General features: G+C 50.4%; 1 protein-coding gene across 4 annotated transcripts in view, besides 8 other annotated features; it reads left to right on the top strand.

Annotated features, from left to right (window-relative positions):
- The window catches only part of CMIP (c-Maf inducing protein), a 266,955-nt gene that overhangs the window by 51,212 nt on the left and 196,267 nt on the right, over nucleotides 1–19,476 (top strand). The window lies entirely within an intron of this gene.
- Nucleotides 1,161–1,802: an enhancer, noted in NCBI's record as "H3K27ac-H3K4me1 hESC enhancer chr16:81530785-81531426 (GRCh37/hg19 assembly coordinates)". NCBI's record gives its function as "activates a minimal SCP1, AML or CMV promoter by ChIP-STARR-seq in primed H9 embryonic stem cells {active_cell/tissue: H9 hESC(primed)}" and the evidence as "EXISTENCE:reporter gene assay evidence [ECO:0000049][PMID:30033119]".
- Nucleotides 1,161–1,838: a biological region, named in NCBI's record as "H3K27ac-H3K4me1 hESC enhancer GRCh37_chr16:81530785-81531426".
- Nucleotides 1,719–1,838: an enhancer, noted in NCBI's record as "active region_11186". NCBI's record gives its function as "activates an Ori minimal core promoter by ATAC-STARR-seq in GM12878 lymphoblastoid cells {active_cell/tissue: GM12878}" and the evidence as "EXISTENCE:reporter gene assay evidence [ECO:0000049][PMID:35858748]".
- Nucleotides 1,899–1,958: an enhancer, noted in NCBI's record as "active region_11187". NCBI's record gives its function as "activates an Ori minimal core promoter by ATAC-STARR-seq in GM12878 lymphoblastoid cells {active_cell/tissue: GM12878}" and the evidence as "EXISTENCE:reporter gene assay evidence [ECO:0000049][PMID:35858748]".
- Nucleotides 9,227–9,496: an enhancer, noted in NCBI's record as "active region_11188". NCBI's record gives its function as "activates an Ori minimal core promoter by ATAC-STARR-seq in GM12878 lymphoblastoid cells {active_cell/tissue: GM12878}" and the evidence as "EXISTENCE:reporter gene assay evidence [ECO:0000049][PMID:35858748]".
- Nucleotides 9,507–9,576: an enhancer, noted in NCBI's record as "active region_11189". NCBI's record gives its function as "activates an Ori minimal core promoter by ATAC-STARR-seq in GM12878 lymphoblastoid cells {active_cell/tissue: GM12878}" and the evidence as "EXISTENCE:reporter gene assay evidence [ECO:0000049][PMID:35858748]".
- Nucleotides 16,834–17,664: an enhancer, noted in NCBI's record as "H3K27ac-H3K4me1 hESC enhancer chr16:81546458-81547288 (GRCh37/hg19 assembly coordinates)". NCBI's record gives its function as "activates a minimal SCP1, AML or CMV promoter by ChIP-STARR-seq in naive H9 embryonic stem cells {active_cell/tissue: H9 hESC(naive)}" and the evidence as "EXISTENCE:reporter gene assay evidence [ECO:0000049][PMID:30033119]".
- Nucleotides 17,372–17,501: an enhancer, noted in NCBI's record as "active region_11190". NCBI's record gives its function as "activates an Ori minimal core promoter by ATAC-STARR-seq in GM12878 lymphoblastoid cells {active_cell/tissue: GM12878}" and the evidence as "EXISTENCE:reporter gene assay evidence [ECO:0000049][PMID:35858748]".

Raw genomic sequence — 19,476 nt, forward strand, 5'->3', positions numbered from 1 at the left:
CAGGGAAGGGAGAGCAAGTGAGCCAGGGACCGAGGGTGGGGCTTTGAAGATGCTGTGAATCCAGGGTAGCAAGTGTAGTGGTGCCTTTGTTTTTTCATCTGTAGAATGGGGATAATGGGACTGGTCTCCAAGGGTGGATATGAGTGCTGGGTGAGTTAACACACATCACATGTGTAAACAGGGCCTGGACCATAGTAGGTGCTATGGTTACTATTAAAATTGCTACATTTAGTTAATTAAAATAAATATTAAATCAATATTTGTCGTGCCTGTTGTGTGCTCAGAATACAGCAGTGAACAAAACAGACCCCCTTCATGGGGGCGATCCTACTTGGGGGCGATGGATGGGAAACAAGGAAGTAAGTGAAACCTATTTAGAATTTGTACGATGGAGGGGAGTTAATTGCTTCTCAACCCTGACAAGTGAAAAGAAAAGTGAGAAGGACTTTGAAGGACAAAGACCAATTAAAATTTCAGCCTTTCAGCAAGGATCAAATCAGATTTATGGTTGTTTCATCCAGTGATAAAACCCTTTGAATGGATGACGATGTCTCAAAGTAGCAAAGTGGGGTGCGGGAGAGCTCAGTTTTAAATTTGGTGAGCTTTTGTGCACGTGCTTCCAGGGATTTGGTATCACAGCTGTCTCCTCCAACAGCAAGAAGAGAAGGTTCATAAAGGCACACCATCCCAGTAGAGGCGGGGGTCAGCCCCCTGCGGACCCTGGACCCCTGGGAACACAGTTTGAAACCTGGTGCTCCATCTCTTGGGCTTCTTCCCAATTAAAATGAGCAGAGTCTTACATTCTGTGAAACTGAATGGGAGCCAAGGGGTCAAAGGACAAGTTCAAGAGGGAGAAGCCAGTGCCGCTTGGCGGGCAGTGCCCGGGACACCCACCCACAGCCTGGCAGCTGGGCCATTTGCTTACTGCTGGCTGGCTGGGGGGTTCAACAGTTGGAAGAGGCCATAAAAGTGGATTGCACAGATGCCCTGATGCTGGGCCTCGTAAGGGGTGTCCGGGCTGTGGGGATGTCTAGGCGGAGAGGGAGGTGTAGACCCTGGGCCTCCCAGGCACAGTGATGGGGCAGCTGGAGCTGGTGGTGCCCATGCAACAGTCCACCCTCCTCCAACCCCTGCCTGACAGCCTTGCATAGCCCGGGGGACTCAGTAGCTTGGGGCTCCCCTCTGCTCAGGCAGACCTAGGGCTCTGATGGCTCCCATTTATGAGAACAGCTGTCACTTGGAAGGACCTGCTACCTGTCCTCCGAGATGTGTTTTTCATACCTTGTATTGGTCCTCTCCACCAATAACCCCTCATGGATGAGTGATTGTTACTGTGTAGGAAGAACTTGGGGCTCAGTGAGGTTGAGCCACTTTTCCAAGAGGCCACTTAGAGCTGGAGCTCATAATAAGTAGGGGTCTCTAGGAACTGTTTCTAAACAACCCCCGAACCCAGCTGGTGGCTCCCAGAAGGGTCTCTGGAAGCAAGGCGACTGTCTCATTGTTTCATTAGTTTGAGCCCTACGGGGCCTTAGGACACAGCCAGCTTGGAGAAGTCACTCTAATAACCCATCTTGCCGGTGATGCCCAGGCCTCGGCAGACTGGCTCTCCGAGGGTGTCTGGGCCTGGGCAGCCGAGGTCTTGTTAACCCCAAATCCCACAGGACTCGCATAGAGTGCAGAATCCCGGTTTTCTGAATTGGTGCTAAAGGCTCAGTGGCCTGGCCCTGCTGTGAAGCCACAGGGCTTGTGCTCTGGGAGCCTTGGCCGACACAGGTGCCCCGCCGCCTCCTCTGCTGCTGCAGCCTCAAGGGCTACAAAGAAAGCTCCTTCTGCCCGTGCAGCGTGGGCTCCTGGGTCCCCTGCAGGCCACCATGGCTGCTGCTCCAGCTGTGGTCCCCCCAGAGGCTTCTCCAGGCAGTGCCTGCCGACTCTCCGGTGCTTCCCTTATTTTATTCCTCTTCCGGGCACTAAGTTTCGGTTTCCTTTTCATTGTTCTTTGTTGGTCTGTTCATTCATTCATGCATGCATGTGTTGGTTCATTCATTCATTCTCAGAGTACCATGGTGGCTCTGAGGACAGAGGTCAGACCCAGCTGGGTTGGAACCTGCTGCTCCCTAGCAGTGGGCCTCTGGGCAGATGTTTTAACCATAGAACTCGGCTTCCTTGTCTGAAAACGTGGCTCCTTCTAGGACAGTCAAGAAGGTTCAATGAAATGATGGATGTGGAGCCCCAGGACGTGACCTGAGGATGGTGCTTGTCATGTTGGGGTCTGTGTCCCTCCCTTGGGCACATTCTCTCCTTCCTTCCTTTCCAGCTTCCTGAGGACGGTCCAGTGCCGGGGGCTGGGCACAGGCCTGAGTGAGATGCGGCCCTTGTCCCCCGGCCTTTTTGGTCTGGGTCCTCACCTCTGCACCGAGTCCCCCTGGGGCTGCTCGGCAGCTCTGAGGGGGCCACTCTGCCTCTGCCCAGTGGTCCTGCTTTCTCACGGGGGTTATCAGGCCTCTGCTCCTCGCGCCTCACTCTGAGAGGGTCCTTCCACCTGACTCATGGCTCCCATCCCTCCATGCCCCTGCCCAGGTGCCCACACATGTGTGCCCCAGAACATGGCTGCACACACTTGCATACCCCACGAGCACACACGTGTGTGCATGCATACACCCCATGGTCCTTGAGCACACATGTCCTGGGCCCTGGCATGCACTCCCCCAGGCGTCATGTATACACACAGTCCACACGTTTGCAAACGGGCAGACACACCTCCCTCTTGCACATCCGTGCACACCCAGCCCATATCTTCCTGCCCCTGCGTGTGCACACAGTCCCAGTTAGTTTACACCGTGCACACCTCTCCATACATACAGGTTCCCAGCTGTGCGACCACTCACCCACACGTATGCATTTATTTTTTAACACACACATGCATACCATTTAGTAGGACCCCATGTACAAGCATCTGAGTGCTTTACAAATTCAAATGTATTTAATCCCCCTATCAACACTAGGAGGTAGTTTCTGTTATTAGCGCCATTTTACAAATGAGGAAACTGAGGTGTAGAGCAGTTAGATCGGTGTAGAGAAGCTAGATCGTGTGCTCAAGGCTTCAGTCCAGGCTCTTGGCCCTGACACGATGCTGTTTGCCTGTTGAAGATGTGTGTGCATGCATGCACCATTCACACTGTGAACGTGTCCCAGCATGGCCACACCCCCTCACCGTATACACATATGGCCATGAGCACTCAATCTCAAGGTCATGGATGCACATGCCTCACACCTATGCATGGAAGGACACTCGGCACACATACTTGTCTCTGCACACACACACCACTTGCACACCCATGTACACATGTGCCCCAAGCCTCGCCCCAATCTCCAGCTCCCTTTCAGAGTCCCTTCTAGGATATTCTCTGATTTCTCCCAAGTGCCCAGTTCGGGAGGGAAGTGACTGCACAGATCTGGACCTGGCGATGACCTCTGAGTGGGAGGCAGCCCTGGCTGAGCTGTCTCCTCACCTTAGCATCCGCCTGTCCCGGCGCCCATGTAGCTTCCTTGTCATCCATCTTCTGGGCTGGCCCAGGACACGTGCCCCCATCCCAGCCTCCAAGAATCTGGGAATGTCCTTAGCAGACTGGGCTGGCATGTGGCCTCTGCCCGGGGAGCAGAGGTGGCTCCCCAAAGGCTTCCTGAGAAGTGGTGGAGGAGACTCAGCTTCCCCGTCCAGTCCTTTACCCCTCCTTTACCCAGCAGCGCCCTCTGAATCTGAAACAGTTTTGGGGGCGGCAGCTCCGGTCCTGCCCAGCAACTCGCAGTTGTTGCCTGTGGCATTCAGATTCAAGTCTGGGCTTGTCAGCCCGGGCGAGACTCTCCTATTTTGGCCCTATGGGAGGCATCCAAACTCCTCTGCCCTTGCCTTCCGGGGCGCCCCACGCACTCTGGGCTTCACCTGGCTCCTCTGCTTTGCTTGGGCTGCTGACTTCTGGAGGAGCCCTTTCTTCCTTCTCTCTCCTGATGCAGAACATACCCAGTCTCCCTGGGGCAATCGGCCTTCTTCAGCCACTCCTTGGTCTCTGCTCCTCTTTCCCTCCCTCACTCTGTGTCCTGCCAGCCCCAGCCTCTGGCGACTTTTAGAGCTGGTGCGCAGTCCTGCCTGAGCATCGGTGAACATGACGCCATGGGCTGTGGCTTAACGATTCTTTTGGTGAATTTTGATTCTTTATCAAAATTTCCTTCCTTCCTTCCGTCCTTCCTTCCTTCCGTCCTTCCTTCCTTCCTTCCTTCCTTCCTTCCTGCCTCCCTCCCTCCCTGCCTCCCTCTGTCCCTCCCTCCCTCCCTCTCTCCTTTCCTCCCTTCCTCTCTCCTTTCCTCCCTTCCTCCTTCTCTCTCTCCTTCTCTCCCTCCTCCCTCCCCTCCCTCCCTCTCTCTCTCTCCCTTCCTCCCTCCCTCCCTCCTTCTTTCCTCCCCCTTTTCTTTCTTTCTTTCTTTTTTTTTTTTGAGATGGAGTCTCACTCTGTCGCCAGGCTGGAGTGCAGTGGTGCGATCTCCGCTCACTGCAACCTCTGCCTCCCGGGTTGAAGTGATTCTCCTGCCTCAGCCTCCTGAGTAGCTGGGACTACAGGCGCGTGCCACCACATCCAGCTAATTTTTGTATTTTTAGTAGAGACTGGGTTTCACCATATTGGCCAGGCTGATCTTGAACTCCTGACCTCAAATGATCCACCCACCTTGGCCTCCCAAAGTGTTGGCATTACAGGCATGAGCCACTGTGCCCTCCCCGGCCCACTGTTTCCTTTCCCTCCCTCTCTGTCCTTCCCTTCCTCCCTCCCTTCCTTCTTTCTTTCCTTCCTTCTTTGCATGTGCCAAGCCAAGCCTTGTGCATCTGCGTCTTTGAAGTCCTCACGAGTTGAACTAACAAGAGAAGAAAAACCCAGGATATGAGAAATCATTGGATTGCGCAGGTGCCCTCTGCCAATTGGTTAGCAAGTTTTTACGAGCAAATCTGGTGGTTATCCTTTGGAAAATAAGCAAAGGCAAACCACTTCCTGCCACTTCCAGGAGCTGCTCAAGTGCCGGAGCTTTCTAAGACCTACTGAGAATCTGAAACTTCAGGCCAGCGTCCTCCGTTTTCCTGGAGAACGCAGTAATTTGTGTTGGTGAAATTCCACTGGGCCTGATGGGGTTGGAGATTGCATTTCAGTCTTGTCTTGCTAAGGAATTTCTGAGATCGAGTAATTTGGCAAGAAGAGAAAAGGAGAACAACTTTGGGTTGTGACGCACGGGCAGCAAATGCCCGTCCTATTTTGGGACTGGTGCCTCCTGCTTTGCGTGTGCCACACAGCCTCAGGGGACCTGAAGCCCCTCTTTGGCCCCAGGGGGAGCTCTGGCAGTGCCCTGTGCCACGCATTGTATCGGGCTCCTTGCACTCCTTCTTACTTGACTTATAAGGTTACGCTATTAAATAGCGTCATCTGCAGAACAGCCCTAAATTCTTGAATGGGGAGAGAAAATGCGGTAGCTGGGGGTGGAGTGGGGTCGGGGGCAGGATCTCAGGATGGGTGTGGCATGGGCATTGATGCTTAGGTTTGACTCTGGTTCTTTTTTTTTTTTTTTTTTTCTGAGACGGTGTCTCGCTCTGTCGCCCAGGCTGGAGTGCAGTGTCGTGATCTCAGCTCACTGCAACTTCTGCTTCCCAGGTTCTCGCAATTCTCCTGCCTCAGCCTCCCGAGTAGCTGGAATTACAGGTGCATGCCACCATACCCAGCTAATTTTTGTATTTTTAGTAGAGTCGGGATTTCACCCTGTTGGCCAAGCTGGTCTCGAACTCCTGACCTCAAGTGATCCGCCCACCTCGGCCTCCCAAAGTGCTGGGGTTACAGGCGTGAGCCATTCTGCTACTAACCGGCAAGTGACTTAAGTCCTTGTGCCTTCCTTGCCTGATTTATGAAATGGCAACAATCCTGGGGATGATGGGAGGACTTTTTTATTCAGTCAACACATGAGTGGTGCCTACTATATGCTAGGCCCTATTCTAAGTGTTGCAACTATTAAATAGAGTAGTCTGCAGAGCAGCCCTAAGGGGCAGCTACTGCCTAGCTCCGATGAGGAAACTGAGGCCCAGAGAGGTTAAGTAACGTACCCAGCTGCTAGGAGGCAGGGCTGGGCTTCAGACCATGGAGTCTGGACCCGGGACCTGGGCTGACAGTTGCAGCATAACAAGGATTAGGTGAGATGCTACATCAGTGAGGTGACCACTTGTCCTGTTTTGCCTGGACAGTCCCAGTTTACACTTGTAGTCCTAGTAAAGTGATCAGTGACGCTTCATTTCATTCATAGATTACATGGTCAACTTATGTATTGAGTATTCAGGACAATCCTGGGGACATGGTGGCACTGCCTCCATGTGAGCAATGGAGGGGGAGGTGACATGGCCACAGAGCACCCAGCCTGGCTCGCCTGGGGGTGCCTGGGTTACCCGCAGAACGGAGATGTCCTCGTTCATTAACTCATTCGCTCAGCGATCCATGGGCCTGTCACGTGCGCCAGGCATTTGGGCGTCATGCTGATGGCTGGGCGAGGATGGGGAGGACTCAGACAAAAGAAGACAGCCAGCAGGCTCTGGGAAATGAAGTCACATCCAAGACCTGCCCTTGTGAGAAATGTCAAGTGTTACCGTTATCATCATATTCCCATTGCTTTGTTTGGCAAATTATGACAATATGGCTGTTAACTAAGCAGATTCTGATTACCTATTGTTTGAATGCAAAAAACAAAACAAAAAAAGAAGCAAGAAAAAGCCTTCTGGCTATGTGACCAGTATTTAGAAATTTCCATTCCTGAACAGGCCTCAGGGCAGAGCCAGTCCCCAGGCTGTGCGGAGCCACTGCTGTCCCTGCAATGCCGGGTAATCACTTTGTCTTTGCTGCTGCATCCATCACGCCCTGTCTCTCTGTCCTTAGATATGTTTGCGTGATGTCGTGGGATGTGGCTTTCCCAGGCAGTCTGTTAAGCAGCCAGAGATCTACTCTGGCCTCCTCGTTGATGTTTCATTAAAGAGCTGCCCTAGTTCAGCACAACCTAAATATTACAGCTAAAGAACACAGGCCCCGGAGTACGGTGACCAGTTTGTTCTGATTTGCCCAATACTGTCCCAATTATACTGAAAGTCTTGAATTCCAGGAGATCCCTCAGTCCCAGGGAAACCGGGATACATGGTTACCCTGCTCTGGAGTGAACACAGCCCTGGGTCATCATCTGTGGCTCTGCTGTGTGACAGCCGGGTGCTTGATGGTGAAGAGTTTCCCCCTGGTATGAGCAGTCAGTGTTATCCCTGGTCTCAGTGGATCACTGGGTCGCCTGCCTAGTCCCAGATACCTCTGATCCCTTTATTTTAATTTTTATTTTTTGAGGCAGGGTCTCTGTGCACCCAGGCTGGAGTGCAGTGGCAACAATTATGGCTTACTGCAGCCTTGACCCCCCAGGCTCAAGCCATCCTCCCACCTCAGCCTCCCGAGTAGGTGGGACCATAGATACATGCCACTGCACCTGGCTAATTTTTAAATTTTTTTGTACAGACAGGTCTCTCTGTGTTGCTGAGGTTGTTCTTGAACTCTTGAGCTCAAGCGATCCTCCTGCCCTGGCCTCCCAAGGTGCTGGGATTATAGGCCTGAGCCACCGCGCCTGGCCTTCTGCCCCATTGAGGTGCCAGTCTGGTCACCTTATCTCACTGTGGATGTCTAGAAGTGAATTCTGAATCTCAACCCACTGCCTTGTTCTGAGGTTGCCTGAACCCCATGGCACCCCTCCAGATCCCTGAGCGGATCACCAGGCCTGTCAGTGACAGACGTCATCACCTGGGAACAGGGCAGGATGTGGCTGAGTAGCTGACATGTAATGAGGGCGTGTTCACACCTGGCCCTGTGCTCCATGGACTTTATATTTAAATCCTCACATGCCAACTGTCATTTTATAAATGGAGAGGTGAGGCTTGGGAAGGTTCAGTTATTTCACCAGTGTTAGAAAAAGGTCAGTGGGGTTGGGCGCCGTGGCTTACACCTGTAATTCCAGCACTTGGGAAGGCCGAGGGAGGCAGATCACTTGGGGTCAGAAGTTTGAGACCAGCCTGGCCCACATGGTGAAACCCCCTCTCTACTAAAAATACAAAAATTAGCCTGGCGTGGTCGTGGGCGCCAGTAATCCCAAGTACTTGGGAGGCTGAGGCAGGAGAATCGCTTGAACCCGGGAGGCAGAGGTTGCAGTGGGCTGAGATCATGCCACTGCACTTCAGCCTTGGTGATAGAGTGAGACTGTCTCAAAAAAAGGAAAAAAGAAAATAGAAAATGGCCAGCGGGGCTGGGCACCATGGCTCATGCCTGTAATCTTAGCACTTTGGGAGGCCAAGGCAGGTGGATCACTTGAGGTCAAAAGTTTGAGACTACCCTGGCCAACATGGTGAAACTCTGTCTCTACTAAAAATACAAAAATTAGCCGGGTGTAGTAGTGGGTGCCAGTAATCCCAGCTACTCGGGAGGCTGAGGCAGGAGAATCGCTTGAACCCAGGAGATGGAGGTTGCAGTGAGCCAGGATTGTGCCATCGCACTCCAGCCTCGGCGACAGAGTGAGACTCGTCTCAAAAAAAAAAAAAAAAAAAAAAAAAGAAAAGAAAAGAAAAAATGGCCGGTGGGCCTGCAGCCCACCTGTGCTGTGTGTGCTCCACGGTCTGTGCCATTCCACGAGTGGTCCCAGTCTGTGCCTATCTGCAGAGCTTGTTACCAGCCTCTAGGGAGAGAAATGAGGAGAGCAAGAGTGAGGGTGTGGAACCCTTTTAGCATTTTGACATTCCAATGAAATTTTCATTATAGTTTTCAAAAATATTGGTTTACAGTGGATTGGAAAGAAAATAAAAATGGGTCTTTTCCCACAGACAGTTTGGAAAGTGCTGCTTTAGACCCTGCTCTTTTGACCCCTTGAATCAGCCAGTGAGGCTGGGCTGTGCAACGGTAACGGGCAGCGCAGCTGCTCAACACACCTGAGGTTTATTTCTCCTTCATGCTAAATGTCCAGGGCACATCAGTCGGGAGCCTTGCTCATCTGATCGTGCAGTGACCCAGCCGATGGAGGGCCCGTCTCAACATGTGCTTCTGCTGTCCTGGAGGCAGGACGGGGGTGTGGCCACTTGTACAGGACACACATCACTGCTCATGGTTCATTGGCCAGCACAAGTCACGTAGCCACACCTATAATTTATAGGGGTGGGTGAAGAGGGAAGGGAAGTGGAATCCCTCATGTGTTCTGAAAAAGGAGAGAACTGGGCCTGTGTGGAGGCCATGTTGTTGTTTCGCTTCTGCCTGTTCTTGCTTCCATGTGGGCCTGGTCCTCCAGACCCCACGCCTGGAGAGCTGCTGATCTTGTGCGTTTTGTCCATTTGCACCCTGGTTTTCAAAGGCAGCGGGGTCTGTGAGCCCCAGAGCCTCAGCTGGGACCTGCTGGGCCGAGTTTCTGGTCCCTCTTGGAGCTTTAGTGCTTTCTTAGTTTGGGAACTGAAAGCCTTGTCTGTTTCCCCAGACTGTGAAGAAAGTTATGAGTAGTGTCAGGGAGCTCTGCACAGAAACTTTGGCCAAGATCATTTCCCTCTTGTAAGCTGGGTCTCTCTTTGAGTCTCTCCTCAGTGAAAGAGTGGCTGGTTTAAATCAGGAACAGGCTGGGCACGGTGGCTCATGCCTGTAATCCCAGCACTTTGGGAGGCCAAGGCAGGTGGATCACCTGAGGTCAGGAGTTTGAGACCAGCCTGACCAACATGGCAAAACCCTGTCTCTACTAAATACAAAACAAAAAATCAGCCGGGCGTGGTGGCACATGCCTGTAATCCCAGCTATTCGGGAGGCTGAGGCAGGAGAATCACTTGAACCCGGGAGGTGGAGGTTGCGGTGAGCCTAGATTGTGCCATTGCACTCCAGCCTGGGCGACAAGAGCAAAACTCCATCTCAAAATAAAATAAAATAAATCAGGAACAGTAAGAACTGCCGTTCATTGAGTGCTTATTACATGCTGTCACATTGCTGAGCAGTTTACACACGTTGTCTCTATTCATCCTCCTGCAACCCTAACAGGTGGGACCCCTCTTAGCCTCATTTTATTGATGAGGAAACCAAGGCTCGGAGAGGTTAAGGAACTTCCTGCAGCTCACGTAGTTAGAAACTGGCGAAGCTGATTGGATCTAGGCCTGTGTGATCCTGAGCCTACACTCAGGACCGTTCTGATCCTGACCAGTACTTACTGATTTGGGGTCTGAGAAGACAGTAATGAGCAAGGGCCCCCAGAGAAGTTTTCTGACCTTCACAAAGCCCTGCTGAGATCTTGACCTCTGTTCTTAAGAGGTGGATCTTGCCTCAGTTATGCTCAGCCATTTCATTACACAGGAAGACCTCATTCTTCCTTACATTGCAATTTATTGTTTTTTAAAGAAACTGGCCTTGTATTGTGGAAATAACATTGGAAAATGGAGATTAAAATGGGTAATGGAAATAACAATCAGTAATGGCTTAAGAACAGAAGCTTGATTGGGGAAAAGTCTTCCGAATAGAAAGATGATCAAGTGGGAAGAAAATAAAGTGGAACTTTGAGTTTGAAATGGCTCACTCATGCCTGTAATCCCAGCACTCTGGGAGGCCAAGGCGGGCGGATCACGAGGTCAGGAGTTCGAGACCAGCCTGGCCACACTAGTGAAACCCCGTCTCTACTAAAAATTAGCTGTGTGTGGTGGTGTGCGCCTATAGCCCCAGCTATTTGGGAGGCTGAGGCAGGAGAATCACTTGAACCCAGGAGGCGGAGGTGGCAGTGAGCTGAGATCACGCCACTCCACTCCAGCCTGGATGACAGAGCGAGACTCCGTCTCAAAAAAAAAAAAAAAAAGAAATGGCTCAAAGCCTTGTTCCTGAATGTCCTCTAAAGAAAGATCATCGGCCGGGCACAGTGGCTCACGCCTGTAATCCTAACACTTTGGGAGGCCGAGGTAGGTGGATCACGAGGTCAGGAGATCGAGACCATCCTGGCTAACATGGTGAAACCTCATCTGTACTAAAAAAAATACAAAAAAATTAGCTGGGCGTGGTGGCGGGCGCCTGTAGTCCCAGCTACTCAGGAGGCTGAGGCAGGAGAATGGCGTGAACCCAGGAGGCGGAGCTTGCAGTGAGCCGATTGTGCCACTGCACTCCAGCCTGGGTGACAGAGCTAGACTCTGTCTTAAAAAAGAAAGGAAGATCATCTGCCCAGCCTTGGCTTTCTGGGGGTCTTGGGTACCCTCCCTCTGCAGCTGCTAAAGATAAGCCTAAAACTACGTTTCTCAAACTGGGATATGTGCAGCCTGTGAGGGTGTCAGGAGTTTGAGAAACCATAGGCTAAATTGGGTGTGTCCTCTATGTGTGTCCACTTGACTTGTGGATTCAGAGGGAAAAGATTAAGTAATTTAACTAATATATAATTTAGAACATGGCTCATCTTCTTGGAATGAGCATTTTCCTTGAGGGGTGGAAAGGTTAAGTCGTTTAATTGGTGCGTAATGTAAAACATGGCTCCCCTTTGTGGGAACATCCACTTTAGACAATTTGGTGAAGGGAGAAAAGGTGAAACCATTTAATTCAGGAGTCATTGGAGATATTATTTTGCTGTTAAAGTGTGCACAGATGTGGAGTGGAATGCAAATTCACAAGGCTCATTAAGATTAACCAGGAGACCTGAGTGGAATCTCCTGGTTGGGGTGGCCGCAGATCACTTTGCGTTTGCCCTGCTTTATATTTGGGGTTCTTGGGGGAACAAGAGGACTGGGTTCTGGGGAAGGGCTGTGAGGGTAGCACTCAGTAGTACTGGGGTGTGAGTCCCATTGCTGCCTGGGACACTGGCCCAGCCTGCTGGAGCTGGACTGATCCGGTGATTTTTGCCTTTCTTGGTTTATTTCCCATTTGGTTTTCCCAGGCTTTTAGTAGAGCCCACTTGGGCAATGCCAACCTATCCACCCATGCTTAACGGAGGAATCAGAGATGATTGAACAGAGAGGAACAAAGCAGGAGCATTCCTCCCCCAACCTTGTTCTAGAGACAAAGTGAGTGCTACATCCTCTACTTTATATTATTTTGAAATATTAAATGTGTGCATTTATTTTTGAATAGATAGGACTTTCATATGATGCACAGCTCAGGAAATCTATAAGGAAATGTGGTGAAAAGTCCCTCTTGCCCTGTGGCCCGGCTGGCTTATCTCCTCCCCAGAGGCCACAGCATCCCTGGTTTCTGATCATCTCCTTTGTGGACATAATTAGGTACATAGACGCAAATACGTACAAATTTGGTTTGTTTAAACGAATGATAGAATCCTGTGCACATTTTCCTGTAATATTTTCTCACTAAACAATAGTGAGGAATGGTTGCATATCAGGACAGCTTCCCTGTTCTCTTTTTGTGGTTACAGAGCATTCTACTCCATAGCTCTATTTGGTCATTTTCTTACTGATGGCTGTTTTTGCAGCCTTTTACTCTTTCAAGCAATGCCATGTGATTATCCATGTATATATATCTTTGAGACAAATGCAAAAATGTCTCTGGGAAAAATTCCTAGAAATGAAATGTCTGAGTCAAAGGTTATGCACCTCTGGAATATTGATAGGTATTTACAGACTGCATTGGGAGTTTCAGCACTCTCCATCAGTCTGAGAGGGTGCTCCGTGAGACAGATCTCAGGACAGCTCCTGCAGGCCTGGGATGGTGTGCAGAATGATCTGATCATGCCTGAGGGACCCACGTAGGCCCCAGGATGGGGATCCTCATGGTGTCTCAGGGCCCCTTCTGATGTATGCTTTTGTCAACTGTGCACTGGGGTTGGGAAGTACTTAGGAGAGCAAGTGTCATGTCTGGAGTGGTTCTCCCTTGGCCTTGCCTGCCATTCCTTTGCTCAGCGTGGAGTCTCCCCTACTCCAGGAATGAACTCTTGAATACAATTCAGGTTCCCTTTCCCTTAGCCTTAAGAGCAGCAGCTTTTATGATGGGAAGGGAATCATTCATTTTATTTTTTTCAAATAAAGATCTACTCTTCAGAGAGAAAAAGTGCCAGCAGGTCCTCATGAAGAACAGATTCATTCAGGTGTCTGCAGGTGTCACCAACACCGTGTGCTCCCCGTGTGGCAGACCTCCTGTGTCCTCAGCTGTCATTGCCCCACAGGGCTCTCTTTAGCTCCATCCTATAGATGCGCAAGCAGGTGCAGAGAGATGTGGCATGGGCAGGACCACCCAGCTGGAGAGCCCACCGGAATGATGCTGATGTGCCCTCAGCCTGCACAGTTCCCTGCCTGTGTGTGTGTCTGGGGGCTTGCTTCCTGTCACCTAGCTCGGCATAACACATTGGTGGGAGTTTGGCTTTGGAGATAGGCACTTGGGTTTGACATTGGGGCTGCCTCCTTCCTGCGTGCACTGCCTCTGGCACCTCTCTGAGCTTCTGGTTTTTTAGCTCTAAAAATGGGAATGACTTTCATGTTGGTGCCTGATGTGCAGGTACTCGGGGGTCATAGTCTGGCTGTCTTTCCCTTCCGCCCACTCTGTCCGCCTCCCTCTGGTCATCCTGAGCAGGTCGAGCCAGGGCGGCCCTAAGCAGAGCCCTACCCTAGGGTTGGGGTCAGGGCTCCAACCCTGGTTTCAGGAATGCTGCCTGGATAACCCAAGGGCATGGTCTGAACAGATGTCTCTTGAGGCCTACCTGCCCCAGCTGCACATCCTTGGGGCTGGGTCTTAACTGGGACCCAGACCCCTCAGCTTGCTGTCTTCCTGTCTCCCTTAACCAGGGAGGAGAGAACAGGTGAGTTTCCTGGTGGGCAGGAGCATGGAAGTGTGATGGATCTGATGCAGTGATTGGCTGGGGGCCCCTTTGTCAGGAGCTCCGGACATCCTGCCCTCACGGAGAAGTCCTGCCCCAAAGGAAGTATGCCTGAATCAGACCTGGCTGGCAAATTGAACCTCATTTTCTGATCAATTTCCATCAGGATTTTAGATGAGGATGCTTTTCCTGTATCTTTAATGGGGCGTTTGGCAAAAGCTCTGCTCACTTTGGCTGTGACTTTGTCTCTTGGGCCTCTATCAAGGTATTGACGACAGTGACGTCAGCATCCTGCTGCGGGGCTGCCACCCTCTTTGTGTTATAGTTCTCAAGGTCTGATCGGGGACGAGGGGGTGCTCGCTCCTCACAGCTGCCCAGGAGCTCCACGGAGCAGGTGTCAGGGCCCTTGTTTCCCTGGGTGTGAGTCGCCCAAGTGGGACCATGATGGCCGCCCTCATCACTTCATCACTGATGTTTTTGCTAATAATAATGATGACAATGTCAATAATGGTAGTGTTATTACCACCTAACATTATTATGTGCTCTCAGCTAAGCACTTGGTTTGGATTAGTTTAATCCTTTGACAGTCTTCTGAGGAAACACTATTGTTAGTAGCCCTGTTTAGGAGGTGAGTAAACTGAGGTTTAGCAAGCAAAGGGACATGCACAAAGTCACACAACCAGCCAGGCACAAAGCCAGGATTTAAGTCCTGGAGGTGCGATTCCAGGTCTTTTCAAAATTACACTTCACTACCACCTTTCTCAGATACTGTGATGGACCAGTCCAAGACCAATGTTTTTTTTTCCTTCATTAAAACAAAAAAAATCACAAATCACAAACCTTTATTTTGTTTTGTTTTGTTTTTTTGGTGAGATAGAGTCTTGTTCTGTCGCCCAGGCTGGAGTGCAGTGGTGAGATCTCAGCTCACTGCAACCTCCACCTCCCAGGTTCAAGCAATTCTCCTGCCTTAGCCTCCTGAGTAGCTGGGACTACAGGTGCATGCCACCTTGCCCACCTAACTTTTATATTTTTAGTAGAGATGGGGTTTCACCATATTGGTCAGTCTGGTCTTGAACTCCTGACCTCAGGTGATCCACCTGATTCGGCCTCCCATAGTGCTGGGATTACAGGCTTGGGCCACAGCTGCCAGCCTAACTTTGGGAAATTTTAAAACATATACTGAGAGCATGGGGGAGTAAAATGAACCCCCATGTACTCATCATCTGCTTCAACAGTTCCCAGCTTATGATGAGTCTTGGGGTGTAGCTGCCTCTGTATGCTTCCCTCTCTCCCAGCCACTGTTTAGATGCAAATCCCTGACATGCTGTTAGTTCATCAGAAATGACTTAAATAGGAATCTCTAAAAAATAAAGTATCTTTTAACAAATAGATATAAATGTAATACCATCCTCATGCCTAAGAAACTAACAATAATTCCTTGATATCAAATGTCCAATGTTCACATTTCCCTAGTTATTTCATTCATGATTTTTACTATTGGTTTGCTCATTTAAGATTCCGGACGTGGTCTACACCCTGTATTTGCTTACTGAAGGTTTTACAATCTCTTTAAGTTAGTCATCTGCCCTGTAGAATTTTCCATATTCTGAGTTTTGCTGATTGCTTCCTCATGGTGTCATTTAACACATTCCTCTGTTCCCTGTATTTCCTGTAGATTTCCTGCATACCTTGTGAATTCCTAGTTTGTTTTTACACAAGGTCTCACTCTGTTGCTCAGGCTGGAGTACAGTTGCATGATCGTGGCTCACTGCAGCTTCAACTTCCCAGGCTCAGATGATCCTCCCACCTCAGCCTTCCTGGTAGCTGGGACTACAGGTGTGCACCACCACGCCTGCCTAATTTTTTGTATGTTTTGTAGAGATGGCGTTTCACCATGTTGCCCAGGCTGGTCTCGAACTCCTGGGCTCAAGTGATCTGCCCACCTCTACCTCTCAAAGTGCTAGGATTACACGTGTGAGCCACTGCACCTGGCCTCTAGTTAGTTTTAGACCTGTGCTGTCCAATACCACGGCCACCAGCCACACATGGTCGCTGAGCACTTGAAATGAGGTCCTCATTGAGATGTGCTCTAAGTGTAAAACGCACACTGGATTTTGAAGACTTAGTATGAAAAAAAATATACAGTATCTCACTACTCATTTTTTGTATTGATTATATGTTGAAGTGATAATATATTTGATATATTGGGTTAAAATATATTATTAACATTGATTTCACCTGTTTTACTTTTTTAAAATGTGGCTACTAGAATATTTAGTTTTAAACATGTGGCTTGCATTGTATTTCTATTGGAGAGCACTGATCTAGAGATTTGGTTGATTTGGATTAAAATTTTCGGCATGATTCCTCTCTAGGTAGGTGTTTCTGTGCACTTCCAGTTGCCTCACTCCAGGGTCCCTCATGCCTTGGTGGGGGTCTTTCTTGCTGTGGTTGATGGGCAGGTTCTGGTGCTGGCTGCCTGATCTATCCATCACCACCCCCATCACCTTTCCTGCTCATGTTCCAGTGGGCACCAGCAATCACTGCTCAGGTGCATTATTTCATTAGAGATTGCAAAGGGCAGGTGTTTTAGCTCTACCTTTCCTTCCTCATTTGTCAGATGGGATCATCCGAAGAAGGGCTTCACTTCATCAGCTACATGGTTGTTGCAATGTTTAGTGTGTACAGGAAAGGCAGCAGAAATGCTTCACTCTTCCCCTTTGTATCAAGTTTAGAGTAATAAACTGATTTTGTAGCATCTTCCAAAGGTTTTTTTTTAAATATCAACATGAATTCATGGATTTAAATTTATATTTGATGAATTTCTTTTTTATTAATAAAATTAATTGGCCACAAAATAATTATAATTAAAATAATAATTTTTTTTGAGACAGAGTCTTACTCTGTCACCCAGGCTGGAGTGCAGTGGCATGATCTCAGCTCACTGCAACCTCTGCTTCCTGGGTTCAAGCAATTCTCCTGCCTCAGCCTCCCAAGTAGCTGGGATTACAGGCACGCACCACCACACCCAGCTAATTTTTGCATTTTTAGTAGAAATGGGGTTTCTCCATGTTGCCCAAGCTGGTCTCAAACTCTTGGTCTCAAGCAATCCGCCCTCCTCAGCGTCCCAAAGTGCTGGGATTACAGGCGTGAGCCACCATGTCCGGCTTATTTGATGAATTTCAATTCCTTGCAGTTACTATTCTTTTGGATGCTCCGGTTGGCCCATTTTTGGCTGGTGGGAGCTTTTGAGTTTTGATTTTGATCCCTTGCCCTCTGGTAAACCTCTGAGTTCTTTCCTCTTCTTGGTAGGTTGGAAGATTCTCCCCCTAGATCGAGTTTTCGTAGAGCGGGGCCTGCCTGCATCCGTTGCTGCTCACCAGACCCAGAGTGTGGGGCTTCCTGCCAGCAGGCTATTCAGAGGAGCCGCCTTTCTCTTGGGCCTGGTTGCCAAGGTCCCAGCAAGAGGCTGGAGTTGAGGAGACAGCCAGCGCGGCTGGCCTGGGCCCCACGCATAGTAGGTGTTCCGGAAACGGCTGTTGAGTGAATGACAGGACTGCAAGCTGATCTGCCATACCACCTGGCTGGAGTGGGCTCCTTTCCACCCCGGGATTCTCCAGGAGGCCAGTTTGCAAATAGAGCTGGCCTTTGTTTCTCTGCCGTGTCGGGGACACCTTCCTGGGGCTGAGCCGGCGTGGAGCTGGGATTGTACCTCCAGCTTGTGCTGAGGGTGCTGACTTGGGAACCCCCCGGTCCGTTCTGGCCTGGCTGCTGTGCAGACCCGTGGGTCTAGGCAATGGGGCAAGGGTCAGATGGGTCAATTCCCAGAGTGGAGCTGCCTCCTGTTTCCAGGCCAAGCCGTTTTGCAAGGGACACAGGCATGGCCCTAGCTGGCTCCAGACTTAGTGCCATTACTTCCTGGTGTGAATATTTAAGATTCCAGCTCTCGGATCCTCTGGGCTGGCTTTCATTCCACTGACTTGCAACCTTTGCCCTGTTGTCTTTGCCCAAACCATATTTGCTGCGCTTCCCTCAGCCTAGGTGGGGCATTCTTGCCCCCACTGCCCAGTGCAATCCTGGGGCTAGAGGAAGGCTTTGTGTTTTGACCCCAAAACAGACCATGGGGTTTCCGTTGTGGTTGCTGCTGCTAGTTTAAAAGAAAAACAACAAAAACAAAACAAAACAAAAACGCCGCCAGCTTTGTTGATGTCCAGTGAATCTTCATCCCTAAAATAATGCATTTGTTTATGGAGACTGACTTCATGTATTTACTATAGAAGAGACTAGAATCCGGTGACACTTCCAGTCTATTTGAGGAATGGATTTGCATCTGGTTTTGTGGTGAAGAGGGTAGGTGTCCCAGCCCATGCAGTTGGAGGGGTGGGGCAGGCAGGGAGGAGGAGGGTGGCTGAGAAAGCTTCCCCTTTGTGGGGGCGTGTGGCCACCTCCAGAGGATCAGGGTGAGGGAAGCTTCCAGAAGTGGCATGAGGAGGGAGGAAGAGGCAGCCCAGTTTGACCTTAGGAACGAGGCTAACTTGGGGTGCAGTGGTCAGGAGTGTGACGAGACCATCCAGGTTCCAACCCAGCTGGCTACTCATTAGTCCATGACCTTAGACAAGTGGTTTGCGCTCACTGAGCCTCCATTCTTCATCTGCAAAATGGGTGTACTGTGAGAATTAGATGGGACAGCCTATTAATTAAGACTTTAGCGTGGCTCTCAGCACCGCATGGGCACCCCTGGTAGATCTAGTGTTGCGGTCAATCGCGGTGGCTCTGGAGCCTGAGAGCCCAGGAGAAGGTCATGGCTTCACCCCTTATAACCTGGGTCCCCGTGGGTTTGTTTCCAGACTTCTCTGTGCCTCAGTCTCCTTATCTGTAAAGTGGAGGAAACAGTATTTCCTGCTTCCCAGGGTGGTTGTGAAGATTAAGTGACTTAATACACAATCCTTAGGCTGCTGCCTGGCCTGTGTGTGTGCCGTGCCAGTGTGCGCCATGGTGGCTCTAGCTGTTGCTCATACTAACATCTTTCAGAGGAGCTACCACAGACCAAGTGGGGCGCTGGGGTCCAGTAACAGAAAATGCGATGAACACTCCCCTGAGCATCGTTGTTCGAGGGCCTGCTGTGTGCCAGGCCCAACAGCCCTGGAGGAAGGTCATATCCTTCCCATTTTCCAGAGCTGGAGACTGAGGCCAGGAGGTGACCCATGGCCACGTGGCCTGTCCTGGCAGGAGTGCCCTGTCCCAAAGCTCTCAGCCTTTTCCCTGTGCCAGACCGTCTTCTCCCAGTTAAACTAGAAGCATGACTCCAGCAGAGAGAAACCTACTGGGGGCTGTGCTTTATTCTGGGCTCTAGGGCTGAAGGATTGACCGGGCAGGTGAGGCTGAACCCTCTCACCTGTCAGCGAGGCCTCAAAATGACTCACAGCTGAAAGGAACACCTTGGCCTTCTGATTCTCATCCTTGAAGCGTTGTGGTCCCTCACGCTTCTAGATGGAAAAACACAAGGTCTGTGTTGGAGGGCACTGACGTGTGTGGCGATGTAAGGAGAGGCACAGCTGATCTTGGCTTTGAAGGCTGGGTGGGCGGGCACCACTGGGCTTCTGTTTCAGAGAACGCACTATTGATTTA

This window comes from Homo sapiens, chromosome 16, assembly GCF_000001405.40.
Source record: "Homo sapiens chromosome 16, GRCh38.p14 Primary Assembly".
Taxonomy (NCBI): Eukaryota; Metazoa; Chordata; class Mammalia; order Primates; family Hominidae; genus Homo; species Homo sapiens.